This window comes from Homo sapiens, chromosome 11 (genome assembly GCF_000001405.40).
Source record: "Homo sapiens chromosome 11, GRCh38.p14 Primary Assembly".
NCBI classification, from domain to species: Eukaryota; Metazoa; Chordata; class Mammalia; order Primates; family Hominidae; genus Homo; species Homo sapiens.
In genome coordinates, this window is record NC_000011.10 from 129,874,941 (window position 1) to 129,891,782 (window position 16,842).

Consider the following 16,842-nt stretch of genomic DNA (forward strand, 5'->3'; position numbering starts at 1 on the left):
AGAAACAAGTCAAGCTTAGATAACAGAAGTTATTTGAACTCTAGGAAAAAAATGTCATTGTATCTAAATCACAGCTGATGCAGATTCTATCTCAGCCTAGCTGCGTATTCCCAATAGTTCCCCAAATCGTTTGACGAGACAATAAATGCTGTTAAGACTACTGAGGTATTGATCTATTTTTACTATAAGGATACTGTGAAGTAAGTGACCAGTCTGCCCTTTATCATAAGCTAAAAGAAAGCCTAGAGCAAAATTTGTGTTTCACTAACAGCAAGCGTTTTGATCACTATGCATTTTTCAAGGTATGTTTTTCACTTCATTCAGTTTTTAAAAATTTTGTTATATTTTGTATTTCCTGATAAGTTTTCTTAAATCCATTCTGGAACAAAGCAAAAGTAATCTCTTCTCCGTCCTACCTGAGTGCTGGTGACATCTGGTGCAAGAAACTGGGAGTCCTTAAGCAGTTCACAGATCTCTGCCCGTGTGCCTTCTCCATTAGGCAGTCGAGCCGCAGCGTCCCGAACTGATGACATGAGAAAGCACACAGTCCACAAGTCAGGCAGGGTTCCTACGGAGGTACAATCTCCTGTACCTGCAGTGATGGGCAAAGCTGCCTGGGGTTCCTGCTCCTCTACCTTCCCTGATGCCGGATTAGGTGCACTCTGCCCTCCAGCAGCTGGCAGCTCAGCCACTGGAGTTCCCTATACACTTCTTTTTTTTTTTTTTTTTTTTTTTGAGACAGTTTCGCTCTTGTCACCCAGGTTGAGGTGCAAGGGCGTGATCTCAGCTCACTGCAACCTCCACCTCCCAGGTTCAAGCAATCCTCCTGCCTCAGCCTCCCTAGTAGCTGGGATTACAGCCGTGCACCACCATGTCCAGCTGATTTTTGGATTTTTAGTAGAGACAGGGTTTCATCACGTTGACCAGGCTGGTCTTGAACTCCTGAGCTCAGGTGATCCGCCTGCCTTGGCCTCCCAAAGTGCTGGGATTACATGCATGAGCCATCGCATCCAGCCCTTACACACTTTTAAGAGTCACTTTTAGGTAACACCTTAAGAATTCAGAGGGCCTGTGAACTCAGGTGGGAAGCAAAATTACATCTTAAACTGAAATTAAGTATTTCCTTTAATTATGAACAAAGGGAACAAACCATATACTGCAGTGCTGTGATGGTGTAATAGAAATCAGACATTTTCATATATTACAGCTACTGCAGATAGCTAAGAATATCATTTATACTCATCACTACTTGGAAATTTCAAGAAATGTCAGACCTCCTGCTAGATCTTGTCATATAACATCATAGTAACAACACATATTTCTGCACCATAAACTTGTTTTAACATTTTGATAACTACTTCAAAACAACTGGTCTCTTTTGTAACTGTATTTTATTTCATACATTTAAAAGCATAACTCTGAGAAGGGGTCCACAAGTTCCACCAGACTGCCAAAGGGATTCCTGGCATTCAAAAAGCTAAGAATCCTCACTGTTAAATGAAGCATAGCCTGGAGAAAGCAAATTCCTGTATTTAACCTATTTAGCTGGTCTGGGAGCAACTCCTAAATGAACATAAATGTAAGCCCAGACTTAAGGAAGAAGACTGGGAGCTGAAGATGTCCCCTTCAGCTCCCAAACTGCAATGCTTTGAAAAACTATGCCTTGTTCTCAAAGCCTACCCTGGGTGGAGGGGTAAGGAGAGGACAGAGTTCAGAGTTGGTAAGAGAAAAGCTGCGGGGTGAAGAAAGGGATCTCTGATAATCGACACGTGCCACCTACCAAGAGACAGAATGGTGACGTAGGCAGGCCGGTCGGAGCGCAGCAGGGAGTGCTCCCGAGCCTTGTTGAGCGAGGTCTCCTTGTCAAACACGCCCTTCACTGGCCCCACCACAGACTCAAAGCCGTGCATGCGAAAGGTGAACGCCTTATGGGGTTGGCTATACCTGTAACGCTCCTACCAAGAGACAAGGGACAAGAGTTCTAGGTCAGAATTAGTGGGGTTCTCTCTCGGGCTTCCTTACAATATAAGCAGATCCACATGGAACAATTAAAACAGGAAGGAACAAGTGATTCTATGATTCTAGTAGGAATGTTCAGCCAACCACAGTGGGAAAAGGATGGTTCTCAGAGCCAGTCACTGAGCAGAGGGACAAGGAGGTAATATGAAGGCACTTTGCTACCTGGAAGACAAGATCATCCAAGTATTTCTTACTCCCCTTCCCCACACCGTTTCCACCCCCAACAAGTAATCCCAGCCAACAGAAGGTCTAAGGGGAAAGGTATGAGTTTCTTGCAAGAAGGTAGATGCAGGAGAGTCAGGCTCAGAGCATCTCTCTGCATGGCTCACAGAGGCAGAGACTTACACTGGCTTTTAGGTTCTTACCTGCTCCTGAAAAACCCGTTTCTCCTCCCCCGTGCTGGGACGCACCACATAGTCAGTTCTTCTGGAATATAAAGAATTCTGTATCAACCCTGACAGCTGGCACGTGTGTCAGACCCATTGCCCCTGCTTCAGAACCATTCCCACTGTGACATGGAAAGATGTCCCTCAAGAAGCACTCAATTCTTACAAAGGCGAAGAGCCCACCTTCCAGCTCCTACGAAGTAACTCCTGTTGGTAATTCCAAAATCACTTGATTCTTAGAAACCCAGAAAGGTACTGGGTGGATAGATGGACAAGAGGCTGACATCTTTAACTACTGCTTTCAATATTGCTGTTAAGTAGGTCCGTTCTAAAGGCAACAAACAATTCGGCCTTAGAGGAACAAAGGGCTTCAGGTGTGTTAGATAAGGGTTGTTTTTCTACCTCCAGGGAAAGTACCCGGGGCTTGAGATCTACACCTCTATTACATGAAGCAAAAGTTCTGCCACACTTAGACCGGGCCTCTGTCCTGGTGTCAGAAAACTACCGAACCATGCCAGGGAAGAAAAAGAAACATGGGACAATGTGATATAAAGAGCCTAGGACTAAGAGTCAAGAGATCTAAGTTCTAGCTGGGGTCCTGCTGCTAACCTTCAGCAAGTCACTCAACTTCATGCTTCCATTTACTGGACTAAGATGGCCTAGATGAATAATTCTCAAGTAGGAGCCCAGGGAGGAGTACACATTAAAAAAGTATGTCCACCTACAAAGCAGGTCATATGCCCCTTAGAGGCTCTCCTGCCGTCCCCTCTCTCCACCACAGCCCCTTCCACAAGGAGTCCCGTTCACTCAGGGGGTGCGGCCAAGTCAGGAAGAACCAGGGGACTCCTCAGAGCTCTGAAGCCCATTACAGCTCTAGCATACCAAGAAGTATTAACAAAACCAAGGCAGTATCTGAACTACAGTTTCCCAGGACACCACCCACCACTACAGTATTGTACTCACACCCGAGGGACAGGTGTTGTGGCATCTGAGCTGTCTTCATTTTCTTGCTGGAGAAAAAGAAAACGTTGACAGGTAAATGGACTAAAGAATTTGGGCAAACTTAAGAGCTCTGGAAACCCAGTGAGAAGGATCTGGTATTTCTTAAAAAAACATACCTTACAGAAGGCCTGATCTTTGGTCTCTAGCCATAGCTGGAAGAGGGCAGCTAATTCCTTTTCATTATCTTGGGATTGGCCTATTAGAGGAATAAAGAGATAAAAAAATAAGAAGGTCTAAGGTATTATTGAGAATCCTGCTTTCTCTTTACTAGCTGTAACTACAACACAGAGAGATTCTATCAGGAGCTGTAGCAACAATCCTTCACACATCCACTGCCTTCCAGCTGGCGGAAGTCAGCCTGGACCACCACTCTTGGATGCCACCTAATGAAATCATTCACTCCGTAGGCATTCGCTGAGTATCCACTGTGCCACGCACTGCATGTGACGCTAAGGTTACTCGGTGAATTCAGTCCCCACCCTCATGGGAGTTTATAGTCAAGTGAGGAAAGAGCACATATTTTAAAATCAATTCAAAAAGTGGTAAGCATCACAAAGGATGTCATCATAGCTTATACCAAGGTAATTATTCTATTTTTGTAGGTAAGAAAGGCTTCTGGCTAGTGGGGCACAGAGAAAATTCTATTCACTAGCATAGCAGTTAAGACCCAGGGGCAGGAAAAAGCTTGACTTTCCACAACCCGCCTAGAAAGAGATAAGCCCTGTCTCCTGTGCCCTCTTCTCAGGTCACTCTGTTCAGGCTGTCTGAGACCCTGATGGCACCTGTGTCTCCTGCCCAGCATAGAAGCCACAGGACCATCATCGGCCAGGTCTGCTTATGTGATGAATGCAGCTACCCTTCTCAAAGGGGCTGTTTACCTTTGTTTTCATGGTCAATACACAATATCACTATTTGCAGAAACCTCCCAACAATGGCAGAGTAGCTTCAACTAAAGCATCTGGCCGACAAGCTTCAAACGCTTATTATCTGGCCCTACAAGAAACATTCTGCCAGGCCCAGGTATATGTGCTCCCTCCATGGCTACTGCAGCCTGACAGATGGGGGGAGTGCTTGCAGTCAGCTACCATCATCACCTTCAGCTCACGGTGGCTTCGCCTCCACCGTTCCACTAGAGAATCACGCTCACTGAAAAATTCACAACTTCCTCCATGTTTGCAAATCTTTAGTCTTTATCTTACTGAATCTTTTAGGAACTATGGAGGCAAATGACCACTCCCCACTTCTCAGGCGATCCGGTCTCCTGGCTCCCAAGACTCAGGAAAACCCTGCTCCAGGCTTTCCCCATCTCTATAGTCAACCCCTGCCCCCGCACTCTCATGCTGTCACTCAGCCCCTCTGCCGTGAAGAGCCCTCCTCGGCCCTCTCTCCTCACTCTGTGCTTCCTCCTCAGGTAACAGCATCATCTGTGCCCTGCACCACACACATGCCAACACTCTCCCCCTTAAACTCTCTGGTCTGAATTCTAAACCCACACATCCTACTGTCTATTCAACAACTCCACTGAAATACCTCAAATGCAGCTCTAAAACTAAAGTCAGGCTGGGTGCAGTGGCTCACACCTGTAATCCAGCACTTTGGGAGGCCAAAGCAGGTGGATCACCTGGGCTCAGGAGTTCAAGACTAGCCTGGACAACATGGGGAAACCTTGTCTCTACTAAAGATACAAAAAACAGCCAGGCATGGTTGCGTACGCCTGTGGTCCCAGCTACTCAGGAGTAGGAGGAGGCAGGAGAATTGCTTGAGCCCGGGAGGCAGATGTTGCAGTGAGCCAAGATCGTGCCACTGTACTCCAGCCTGGGGACAGAGCAAGACTCTGTCTCAAAAAATAAATGAATAAATAAATAAATTTTAAAAACTAAACTCGGGATCTCCACCCTCCAAGTCCAGTCCTCCACAGCTGCTACCTGCACAAACAACACCTTCCTCCACCAGCTGCAAATCTAACAGGAGCCATGCCTCACACCATTCTCCTTCATTCCCCACAGCCAAGCCATAACCAAGCCCACCTAAGTCTTTCTCAAACGTATCCATCCTCTCTCCCTGTGTCTAAATTACCGTCAGCTCTCACAGCCCGTGGGTTGTGTGGCTGTTTTAGATCAAATCTTCCCCATGGAAAGGTTCTACCTCCTCCATCTCAAATGCTGCTGCCTCCCCTCTGCCTGTCTGGCTCAGTGCTATTCATCATACACCTCTGCTCAGATGCTGCTTCCTCAGGAAGGTCCTCCAAACTCTGCAAACTACATCAATTCCTATTATCATAAACCCCCATCCTCTCTGGTACTTTTCCTTCACAGAAAGGATCATTTTGTCATTAAATCTAAGTAAGTATTTCTTCCCCAAACAGACCTTAGGCCCTACGAGAGGAGCACACTGTCTCAGAAGCCATTGTGTCCCCCAGCACCTAACAGTGCCTGACACCCAGAAGCTGAATAAATGTAATAAATAACGAATGAATGAGTCTACCGTTTTCATAACCTGCTCTCCATACGCTTCTCCACAGACCACTCAGCACAGAGAAGTGCCTGTGAATTTCAAGAAGAAACCAACACTGGATTTCTCTCTTTTCACCATCACCAGGTAACAGCCTCCAAGTGACTTCAGATGCATGTTATGACAACTTACACACTAAGTGGGCTTTATAAACTTAAAAATAACAACCCTGTTCTTTAGAAACAACTTATTCGGGGCTGCTGCACACTCTCCTCAATAGCAAAGCCCATTTTTAGGAAAGAAAAAATTTATATTACAAATTAATCCAAAGTCATCTGTATGATTAATATAAATGTCGATGCTCTTGCAAAATACCCTTGCAGATTTAAATTTAGCCATCACCAGACTACATCATACAGAAAGGCTATTCCTTCCATCTCAGCTTTGGTCCAACCAGAGGAGTTAGTTAACCCACCTTGAGAGTACAAAAAGGGTGTTGAAGGACTCCTTCACAGAGCAAAATAAGGTCTGATATTGCTTTTTAAAACCAATCTGCAGGACTATATTGACTGGAAGGCAAATAAACTTAGGGGAAGAAATGGGAGAACGAAAACCTGTTGGGGTAGGTAATACGGATCACTTACCAAGCAACTTCCACTGCTGGGTTTTCTCTTTGAATTCAACAAATGGAGAGAAACTGGAAGGAACAGCTGCAAGAAATGGACCACATAAACAAACCATACAGGTGCGTCCCTGAGCTCCGAAACAGCTTTTGAGTGTTCCACAATGTATTAGAAAAGCAGGAACCTTCAAGGCATAGCATTATGCAAAGGCATGATGGATTACACGAGCAAAGCTGCAGTTTATTCTAATAATTAATTAGACAAAAGGGGGAAAAATACTGACCCTACAAAAAAGAGCATCTTACCTCGACTTTCTCCAGCAAGATACTGCAGGGCTGGTAGTACCAACTCAGCCCAGTTGGGGGCCGCAGAGAACCAGCTGTTGAGGGAGCTGGCTGGCGATGACTGCCAATCCAAAACTCGCTCCTCTAGCTGAGGGAAAGCAAAGGCAGAACCCAGTCAGACTTCTCTTCCACACCAGCAATTCCACACAAGTGCCACCACAACCTGCAGTATATGCATCCGGTGTTTGTCCGAATCACAAAGCAAGTTAACTACAGAGCGTTGAGAGGAACTCAGAGTTCCACTTCTCAAGCTATAGACCATTCAGGATTTGAACACTTTGAAAACTCTAATGTACCTCCAACTTTTCCAAAACGCTTACCATAGGAAGGCTAGCCTGACTCTCCAGCAGCAAGATCTCTAATAGAAGAGAGAAGAAGCTGGAAGATATTTCATTGATTCCAAGGCAAGGCTTGAGGTCTTCAAGGGGCCTAATGAGGGAAGAAAAATATAAGAACCAAAAAGACCAAGAACACATCCCTAGATTGATTCAGGCGCCCAAGCCTCCTAGCAGTCATAAAAGAGTTCAAGAAAGGAGCAAACAATATATTTTCCCAGCAGTATCCCTGGGACTTCAGGTCTACAAGTCCAACATACTTACAGCTACGACAAGCCCTAGGGGCCAGGGCACAGCCTATGGCTTACCCATTCACCCTGAGAATTACAGAATCTCTGTTGCTCACTTACTCTTCCTTGATAGCAGGAATTGCCAGCGGAGAGGGGGCCTGTGAGAGAGGTGCGACCCCTTCAGTACTGCTTAGCGGCTCGGCCAGGTCCTCTGCCTCTGATTTGATCGTTTTTATTTTCTTCTTCTTCTTTTCCTCTTTTTCCTTAACCTTTTTTTTAAGGACAGCCAAGTCATATAAGGCTAGAAAGGCAAAGTAACACCAGTCACAGAAATGTATCTCCTACACAGGGAAGTGAGGGGTCTTATCTGCATATTCTTTTCCCAAGGCCCACCAAAGACAGAAAAGTCTCAGTAATAAAACACTCAATGAAACCAAATTCATTGAGTGATTTATAGCTTTATTTTTTTTTGAGACAGGATCTCACTCTGTTGCCCAAGCTGGAGTGCAGTGGTGCGATCATAGCTCACTACAGCCTCAATCTCCCCGGTTCAAGCGATTCTCCCACCTCAGCCTCCCAAGTATACAGCTTAATTTTAATATTTATTAAAGAGCTGATGCTCTGTTGTACTGATTTTACATTCATTTCCCACCTGTTAGCCTGTAAGAGGTAATAATAAAGGTTACCAGCATGAGAGAGGCCATGGTTTCATTTATTTTTGCCATGTTATGGGCTCACGCAACTTAACACCATAGTCAGATGAAGGCTCCTAGAGGGGCCCAGTCATTTACCTGCCAGAGAGCCCTTCCTGCCAGCATTTACTCGAGTCATGATGTCATTGAGAGTCAGGTCCCCTGTCAAAAGGTCCGGGTGATCCTAGATGTGATATCCAGAATTTGGTCATGGAGGCCCAAAAAGGAGCAAAAACTGAGGTGACTTTGCCAATTTATGTAACAATTAGATGTTAGGTACACTTGGGGAAATCACATTGAGTCAAAAATATAGAGAGATAAAACTATTCATTTTTTCCCTATCATATCCCCATTTAATTAACTTGATACTGCTGCACAGAACCCAGTTCCAATCTTTCTACCGTACAGCATTTAATTATAAAGCTCTTCTGCATTCCTTGTCTCATGTGCTTTGCAAACAGTCTTGTTAAGTATTACTATGTTTTACAGAGTCTGGAAATGGGCTTTAGAGAAGTATCACAGTAACTAGAAAAGAGAGAGAACTCAGTACTGACTTCTGATGTGGGGTTCTTCCCATCTCACCTCCTAGTCTTAGAAGGACTGTCTTTTCTTCCCAAAAAGGTATCATCTTTTCTCCACTGAACTCTCTGGCTTGGTGCTAGCTACCTCAACTTGGTAGCATGGAATAATGGAAACAGTAAAAAGTGGGACAAACCCAGGGCCCAACTCCTGGCTCTGCTGCTTCCTGGCTATAGGACCAAGGACAAGCTCCCTAACCTCTTGAGCACTGCTGAGGTGGAGACGATTCCTATACTCGACAGTGTCACTGTAACGATTAAGGCAGACACTACATTCAGCAGGCCCTGCGAAGTCAAAGCCACCGTGCCTCACATCGTTGATGCTAGCTAGCCTCGCCAGCTGCTCCTGTGCCCACAGTGGTAGGGAGGACATACAGACGAGGCAGTGATGCCCCGTGTCTTCCTCAGGACAGCCAATCCTGAGACATCAGGCTGAAAACCACACGGCCGCACGCCCTTCCCATCTTACTGGCTGATGTTTCCGCTTCTCGTGGTGCTTCTTTAACATTATCTTCAGGTCACTGTCCCCCAGTTCTACTTTATCTGAGAAAACAAACCAAACCATATTCACTATCATGATTCTCCAATTTACATCTTTCTGGTCACTTTCAAAAGTAAGATATTTCTGAGTTTCCCTTCTGACACCTGTGAACTACAAGTACCAAAAATCTTTAAAGTCACAGGATCGACACTTCCACTTTTCCATACGTTGGTAATATATGACTTCTGTGACTCAGCTGGTCCTAAAACACACTTAAAGTTCTTAACCATCTTTGCTTCCTGTTCCAAACAAAAACTCTTCTCCAAACTCACAGACACTCTGGAGAACGGCTTGGCTCTGGTTATTCCTTTGTCCGCTTACCGCACTGCCCCTTCGTACTACTGTTTCAAGATTTTGCTTTCTTTAGCCCAAAATATCAGCTTCTGAGAAAAAATTTTAAAACAAAAGAAAAAAGGCAGGCCTATCTCCAGATGTAAAAAAAAGTAAAATGGTACAAAAACTTTGCCAAACAAATCACCTAGTTCTAGGGAGTTTTGTTTTCCTGGTAGGTAGGAATCTGCCCCCACCCACCTCCCTCTAAAGGAGTTTTCAGGTCTCCACCGCAATGTCCCAGAATGGTGACAGCGGCAGCTTGGTTCTCACCTGCAGTTTTCATATCCGTGGTTGAAAGTGTGGGCACCACCCGCAGGGGCACCGCAGGACTAGGAGAACGTGCTGGAGAGCTCGGAAGCCATGAGCTGAGATCTTCAAAAGAAAATTGTTCTTGTAAATCCAACGTGGCTGTGGACTCCAATAGGGGAGATTGGGTAAGTGGCCATTTGGGTTCAACAAGGCTAAGCCAACAACATGGAGGCCAGGGTTCCACAATCCTTTCTGACCCTACCCCAGAGGAGCTGGAGCACACTTAGGTCATCTAACGGCTCTTCCAGGAAGAGAGACTTCAACAGAGTGCTGGGGTTGCATTGCAGCAGGCCAAGAGCCACTACTACTCTCCTGTAAGGGGAAAACAGTTCTCTCAAGTGGCAAATGGGACCAGTCAGGCCCACTGTGGAGAACCCCGTCGTGCAGGGAGTCGTCTGGCGGGCTCTCATCTAAGCTCAAATGCCACATGGCCACAAGGGTGAAAAAGGCCATGGAGTCACTCCCCATCTGATGGCAATGTCTCAGCAACCCAAAGACCAAGGCCTTCTGAGTCCCGCTATGCACCCCAGACCAGACAACTCAAGAGGGTTTCTTTGCTGGGGAGATAAATGGCTACCACTGGCTCCAACCGGACAAGTGGCCGGTATCCATCCAATACCCCAGCTACCCCAAGTGCCCGAGGACACTCACCCTCTTCATCAGATGACAGGGCTGTGTCACCACACTCCTCTTTCACTTCCCTTAAGACCTTCAAGTAGCGCTGCTGGGTCCGCCACTCCCGCTCCTCAGGTGTGCGGGATGGTGAAGGGCGTTTCTGCCGGAAGGGAAGGGCGGGGCCACTCCGCCGGGCCATCTCCAGCAGATCCTAGGTAGAGATCAGGTGGGGGTACAAGTCATCATCCAAGACCTGTTCTGGAACAATGAACACTCTACAAGTCTACATTTTCTTCTCTTCAGTGTTAAGCCCAACTCCCTCCCTCCAGATCACAAAGAAAGATGCACATATATATTAATATATCCGAAGAATCTGTATTGATTACATGAAAAATCCCAAATCTGACTGTTGAAGTGCTCTACTAGGAATGAATACTTTTTTATACTAGACATTCAAGTATTTCTACACCAAAGCTTAAAGGATGACTTAAAATCCAAACAGCTTTGCCTCTAAGAATTTCCAGGCTGGTCCAGACCCAGGGGCTATTGGGCCTGTTATGCTACCATCCATCACAGCATTCAGAGGCCCATGCACACTTTCATATCCATTCCAAGGAATCCTCGTTTCCCTTAATAACCCATGATAGATCCAAAATCCATCTGTTTATCTTCGTAAACACTGAAGCTACTATAATTTCATCAATTTTAAGAAGCACATTTTATGTTTTAACATCTCTGAAATCAGGACACATTTGAAGTTTATCATAAGAAAGGATGGCATAGCTTAACTGTGTCACAGATTAATTGGTAGCATTTTTTTCTTCGTGGCAATTTTTGTGTTTTGCACCTGAATTGCTTCTTGAAGTCATGATACCTGTGACTGCCCACATTTTATATCCAGTTCCCAGCACTACTTACACTCCGGGAAGCAAGAATTTGCTTCAGCAGCCGATGGAAATACTGCTGCTGGGAGTTGAGGTAGCGCTTGTACTGTGACTTGAAGCATAACTGCCGGTACTTGACCACCTCGGGGTTAAAGTGTCCGTCTTAAAAAAATAAAGGTATATATATTTACATCAATCAACAAATATACATCATCAGTCAACAAATATATTGAATGAGTGCTTAACATGGTAAACTCTGTACCACAAAACTTAAGGGAAAAGTGAACATTTAAGAGAATCAAGAAGGAGAACCAAAAGTAAAAGCGTGCTGAGAAGCAATGACAGCTCATTTAAGGCTGATGATCATCACAGCCACAGTAATGCAACTGTCTTCAGCAGCACTAGAACTGACACATGGCATGGGTCAGAGTGGAATATGCAGGAAGTCCTGCCTTGACATTCCTCATCTGTATCCTTACCAGACGACCATACTGTTTCGGGGGAAACATGCCAGCAAAAGAGACAGTGCTACCTTTATGGAAGGTCCCTTACAGAGCCCCTCTAAAGCCAAGTGGGTCCCCAACTTCTGCTCTATCAGAGGAGACAGTGCACCCTCAGCTGTAGTGAAACAGATCTCTGCCAACCATAGAGGGGAATTCCTTTTTACACTAGTAACCCACCAAAGAAGGGAATGTTCATTTTACACCCTTAATATAATGCGATTTCAGGTGAAAAGGCTACTCTCTCTGGTCATTAGCAGCTGTCAAGTTGTCAAGTTTAACAGAATTCCAGATGTGCTGCCCATTCAGGGCCTTGTGCCAGAACAAAGTCACCCTGGAAGGGAAGAGGAAGAGGCTTCCTTGGCTCCTCTCCATGGTCCAGAAAGCAAACTGTAACTTAAAGAGTGGCCCAAAGCATTTTGCAACCCCCAATATAGTAACTGATGCAGTTGAGAATCACCCATGGAAGCAGAAACTACTGGGTAAGACAAAGGCTTTTGGAAAATGAGACTATCACATGATCCATGATCCCAAAGTATCATCCCACACTGCTTCTTAATGATAAAGGAATAAAGTATCCTTACAAGCAAGAGGTACCGCAGACACCCCTTAACCAAGTGAGCAAATGTGGCTTTACCAAAATGGAAAACCTGATACCATGTGCCTCCTGAGGTGACACAATGGGAAAGACCACATTTCCTATATCATATTCCTGCCGAAAGCCTTTAACCCAATCTAACCATGAGAAAACAAAATGACAAATTCCCAAGAAGCAGGACATTTTATAATTCAAGTGTCCTGGCTCTTCGTGTACTGAAAGACAAAAACAAAAGGGGCAAAGCGCCCTACCTAGATTCAAAAAGCTAAAGAGACGTAAGGCCCAAGCACAATGCATGAACCCTGAACAGATCCTGGATTTACACAGCTACTCTAAAGGACATTGCAGGAACAATCAAGAGAATTTGAACATGAAGGCCGGGTGCGGTGGCTCACGCCTGTGATCCCAGCACTTTGGGAGGCCGAGGCGGGCAGATCACGAGGTCAGGAGATCGAGACCATCCTGGTTAACACAGTGAAACCCTGTCTCTACTAAAAACACAAAAAATTAGCCAGGCGTGGTGGCGGGCGCCTGTAGTCCCAGCTACTAGGGAGGCTGAGGCAGGAGAATGGCGTGAACGCGGGAGGCAGAGTTTGCAGTGAGCTGAGATTGCGCCACTGCACTCCAGCCTGGGCGACACAGCGAGACTCTGTCCCAAAGAAAAGAAAAGAAAATTTGAACATGAAATAGCCTATGATATTATCTGCTCAATGTAAAATTCCTTGAGTGTGGTAACAGGGCGGTGATGATATGGGAAAGTGTCTGTTAAGAGACATGGACATGCTGAAGTGCTTGGCAGTGAAGTGTCATATTTTCTGCAGCAAAAAGTGTGTGTGTACCTAAACACACACACACACGAACCTTGATACGTGCAATAAAGCAAATGGCAAGCTCTTTTTAAAATTTTTTAAAGACCAGACATGAAGGGCACCTCTAGTATGCTGGAAATGTTTTATTTTTTTATGTAGATGCTGGTTACAAGCTGATGCTGGTTACAAGCTGAATTCATATTATGTATTTTCTATATAAGTCAATACATTTTTGTTTTTTAGAACACAGCCTAGACAGCAAAGTGTTACACAAAACCGCTCTTTGCTGCCTCAGTATCTGTACATGAAGATAAAAAGAAGAAAAGGAAGAAAGGAATACCCACATAAAGTGAACGTGTGCCCATCCACCACCCCCCTCAAAGAAAGAATACTGAGCTACAAACCTCGGAAAAGCTTCTGGGCAATGTGCAGAGGGTTTCCAAAGCGGAAGTTCTCCCCACTGAACAAGGCTAAGATGAGTTCATTCTGCTGCTCAGCACTGTCTTCAGGAAACTGGGGCAGAAACTGCTGGAGGTGTTCACGTTGAGAATCACTTAACACTTCCTGCCATGTTGAGAGGCTGACAACATCAAAGAAGATCTCAGGCTAGGAGAAATAGGAAAAGTAAACAAAAGTAAAATAAATTTTTGAGTTTTTTGTATGTATGCGTATACAAAACATTACATAATATACATAAGATTTACCAATTTAACCATTTTTAAGTGTAGACTTCAGTGGCCTTAAGTGCATTCACATTTGCTGTGCAACTATCACTACTAATTTTTTACATTTTTTTTTTTTTCTTTTTGAGACCAAATTTTGCTCGTTGCCCAGGCTGGAGTGCAATGGCACGATCTCTGCTCCCAGACTCAAGCGATTCTCCTACCTCAGCCTCCCGAGTAGCTGGGATTACAGGTGCGCACCACCACGCCTGCCTATTTTTTGTATTTTTAGTAGAGATAGGGTTTCACCATGTTGACCAGGCTGGTCTCAAACTCCTGACCTGAGGTGATCTGCCTGCTTCGGCCTCCCAAAGTGCTGGGATTACAGGCATGAGCCACCATGCCTGGCCTAAGATTTTTTAAAATAAACTAAAATTCCAATGATCTTGAGATTAAAGACTACATATGAGCCACAGTCTTGTATCCAACAGTAAATAATTATCCAGAGGAAAATCATTTTAGTAGAGAATCCCACTTGGAAGCCACCTCTGCCAACGAGGGTATGAGGGTGGACATCTGAATTCCGCCTCAACTGAGTGGCAGGAAAAGGTTAACATAGAAGGAATGAACTTGAGGGACTGAAGTCACCAGCTAAGAGTGAGAAGAAACAGGATGGGGTTCATTTTCAACTCCCGAGTTATATACTGGATACCTTCCACGAGCAAAATACTAACTTGGCCTGGCATATATATGGTCTGAGGTGGGGAACAATTAAACATGCAGTTACAATGTAGTTAAAGAAGTGCTGATGTGTATAGAAGCAAACATCCCACATTTACAATGTCAGAGAATGCTCACCAAAAAACGGTTAAGACAGGAGAGGGATGAGGAAAGAGAAAAAAGACGGTGGGGGAGAAGGTTAGAAATCCACAGAGCAACACCAGAAAAACAAAAAAAGAATTAACACAAAAGAAAGGATAGCAGTTACCTGTGGGGGAATGGAGAGGGATAAGACAGGGTACGTGGTGGTGGGCTTCAGTGGTCTTAGTAGTGTCCCTACCCTAACTGAAGGCTACATGCACGTTTTATTATTGTCTTACGTGTGTGTGTGTGTGTGTGTGTGTGTGTGTGTATGCATTTTATATACGCTTCTGTGTGATACTTTTTGGGTTTTTTTGTTTTTTTTTTTTGTTTTTTTAGAGTTCAGGCAATATTTGGCTAGATCAAGGACAGGGAGGGAGGTGGAGGCAGCAGACAGCAGAAAGATGCAAAGGACGGCAAGCATTTTAGGTAGTTGTGACTTTTATCCCTAAGGACAATGGAGACCCACTAAAGGGTTTCAGCAGGAAACAACCCAGAAATCCAACCACCCACTCCAGGCATCTTTGCATGAACGTATCAAAAACACCTCAGTCCCAATGCCCAGGATCTTCCCCTGCAAGCCTATTTTTGCCTACATTTTATTCCTAGCATCTAACTCAGTGTCTGGCATAGAGGCGCCTAATAGAACAAGTGTTTGCTGACTACATGAGTAACATAAAGGGACTGCCCTGAAAGAGTATGCCAAGAAAACATGGATGGGAAGTATATACACCAACTGCAGTACAGTTGTTACTGTAGCTGGGAGGGAGGATCAGAGAACAGCACACTGGTGGCTTTCATTTTATCCATAATGTTTGGCATACGACCAAAGAAGAATGTGAAACAAACAAACTAAATTATCTCTTAAAACTGGGTGATGCATAGATGACTGTTTGCTATACCATGCTCCACACCTGTATGTTCAAAATATGGCAAAACAAAAGAAATATATAATTAAATGAATGTTTTCACGTACATAGTGGCTTGCAAATAATAAGCACTTAATAAACGGTAGCCACCTTAATGATGACAATGACGCATCTTGCCTGTGAAAGTGGACAAAAACAAGCTGGCATCCCATCCCAGGGCACGTACCATTATTGAGTAGAGGGTTACCTTATGGATACAGAAAATACGTGTAGGTTTTGTTTAATGTTCCACAACATGGTAACCATTTTAAACACATATATAATTCTGCTTTTAAAATATACCTTTTAAAAATGTTTATTTATTTTCTATTAGTAAGTGGTCTTATTGACATAACTGAACATAACAATGTATAACATTTATTCATTTCCCACTGAAAGACTTCCCAGTGGAACTGTTTTTGGTAGAAAATAGATCCAGGCATTAAGCATTTCCAGTGATGTTCTACGGTTGAAAAGGTAGTGGTGACCAGAACCAGAGGCCTTGTCCGTGCTTGCAGTGGGACTCAATATTATCCTGCTGGGCAAAAGCAACAGCTAGGAGATGCAATCGTGCCATGACTGAAAAAAGCCAGGAGCACAAAAGATGCCAGCTAGCCCACTGGTTGAAAATCAGAGCAAACGACACTACCTCTCCCATGCACCAATACGCGCTGAATCTAAAATAAGCCCTGGCAGCAAACTAAGAATGACAGTCTATTTCCTATGGTTTATTAACTTTGGGCCCTGCAGATAAAGACCGCCAGAAAAACAGCCATAGTTTAACTGGTCTGGACATTTACTCATCTGAACATAAATAATGATCAGCTCATTCAGATTCCTGGGTCCCTACTCAGTTGTTGGGATGAGGGGAAGCCATGGGGCAATCTAGGCCAAACAGAAAAGGAGTGAACTGGGGTGAACGACCCCCAGGCTGTGATGGATTCCCTGAGTCACCAGGACTTAAGGCCCTACACAGAAATTCCACCGCTAGCCTTAGCACCATTAGCACCACTGCAGTGGCCTCCATGGTACTCCACTGCCAATCAATCCGTAACCACAGTGTACACCCTCTTAGTGACTGCATTTTTAGACCACACATCAAATTATTAATGTAAACCAAACTACTACATTTAGTGATAAACATGTACTTCATAAATATCAG

General features: G+C 44.6%; 1 protein-coding gene across 2 annotated transcripts in view, besides 1 other annotated feature; it reads right to left on the minus strand.

The window, feature by feature from the left end:
* NFRKB (nuclear factor related to kappaB binding protein) overlaps positions 1–16,842 on the minus strand; it is a 31,943-nt gene that overhangs the window by 11,305 nt on the left and 3,796 nt on the right. Inside the window, exons 4-18 of one of the 2 annotated variants that reach the window (NM_001143835.2) lie at positions 13,654–13,855; positions 11,377–11,504; positions 10,495–10,669; positions 9,805–9,906; positions 9,130–9,203; positions 8,182–8,266; positions 7,511–7,691; positions 7,146–7,254; positions 6,787–6,913; positions 6,503–6,568; positions 3,524–3,603; positions 3,369–3,415; positions 2,385–2,445; positions 1,781–1,955; positions 417–523 (exon numbers count right to left, since the gene is read on the minus strand). In NM_001143835.2, the coding sequence (NP_001137307.1) occupies positions 417–523; positions 1,781–1,955; positions 2,385–2,445; positions 3,369–3,415; positions 3,524–3,603; positions 6,503–6,568; positions 6,787–6,913; positions 7,146–7,254; positions 7,511–7,691; positions 8,182–8,266; positions 9,130–9,203; positions 9,805–9,906; positions 10,495–10,669; positions 11,377–11,504; positions 13,654–13,855 (1,719 nt within the window). Of the gene's footprint in view, positions 1–416; positions 524–1,780; positions 1,956–2,384; positions 2,446–3,368; positions 3,416–3,523; positions 3,604–6,502; positions 6,569–6,786; positions 6,914–7,145; positions 7,255–7,510; positions 7,692–8,181; positions 8,267–9,129; positions 9,204–9,804; positions 9,943–10,494; positions 10,670–11,376; positions 11,505–13,653; positions 13,856–16,842 lie in introns of both variants that reach the window. The other variant, NM_006165.4, reaches the window with a different exon arrangement.
* Positions 6,714–7,008: a silencer, noted in NCBI's record as "tiled region #15352; HepG2 Repressive non-DNase unmatched - State 12:CtcfO". NCBI's record gives its function as "represses a minimal TATA promoter and a strong SV40 promoter by Sharpr-MPRA in HepG2 cells {active_cell/tissue: HepG2}" and the evidence as "EXISTENCE:reporter gene assay evidence [ECO:0000049][PMID:27701403]".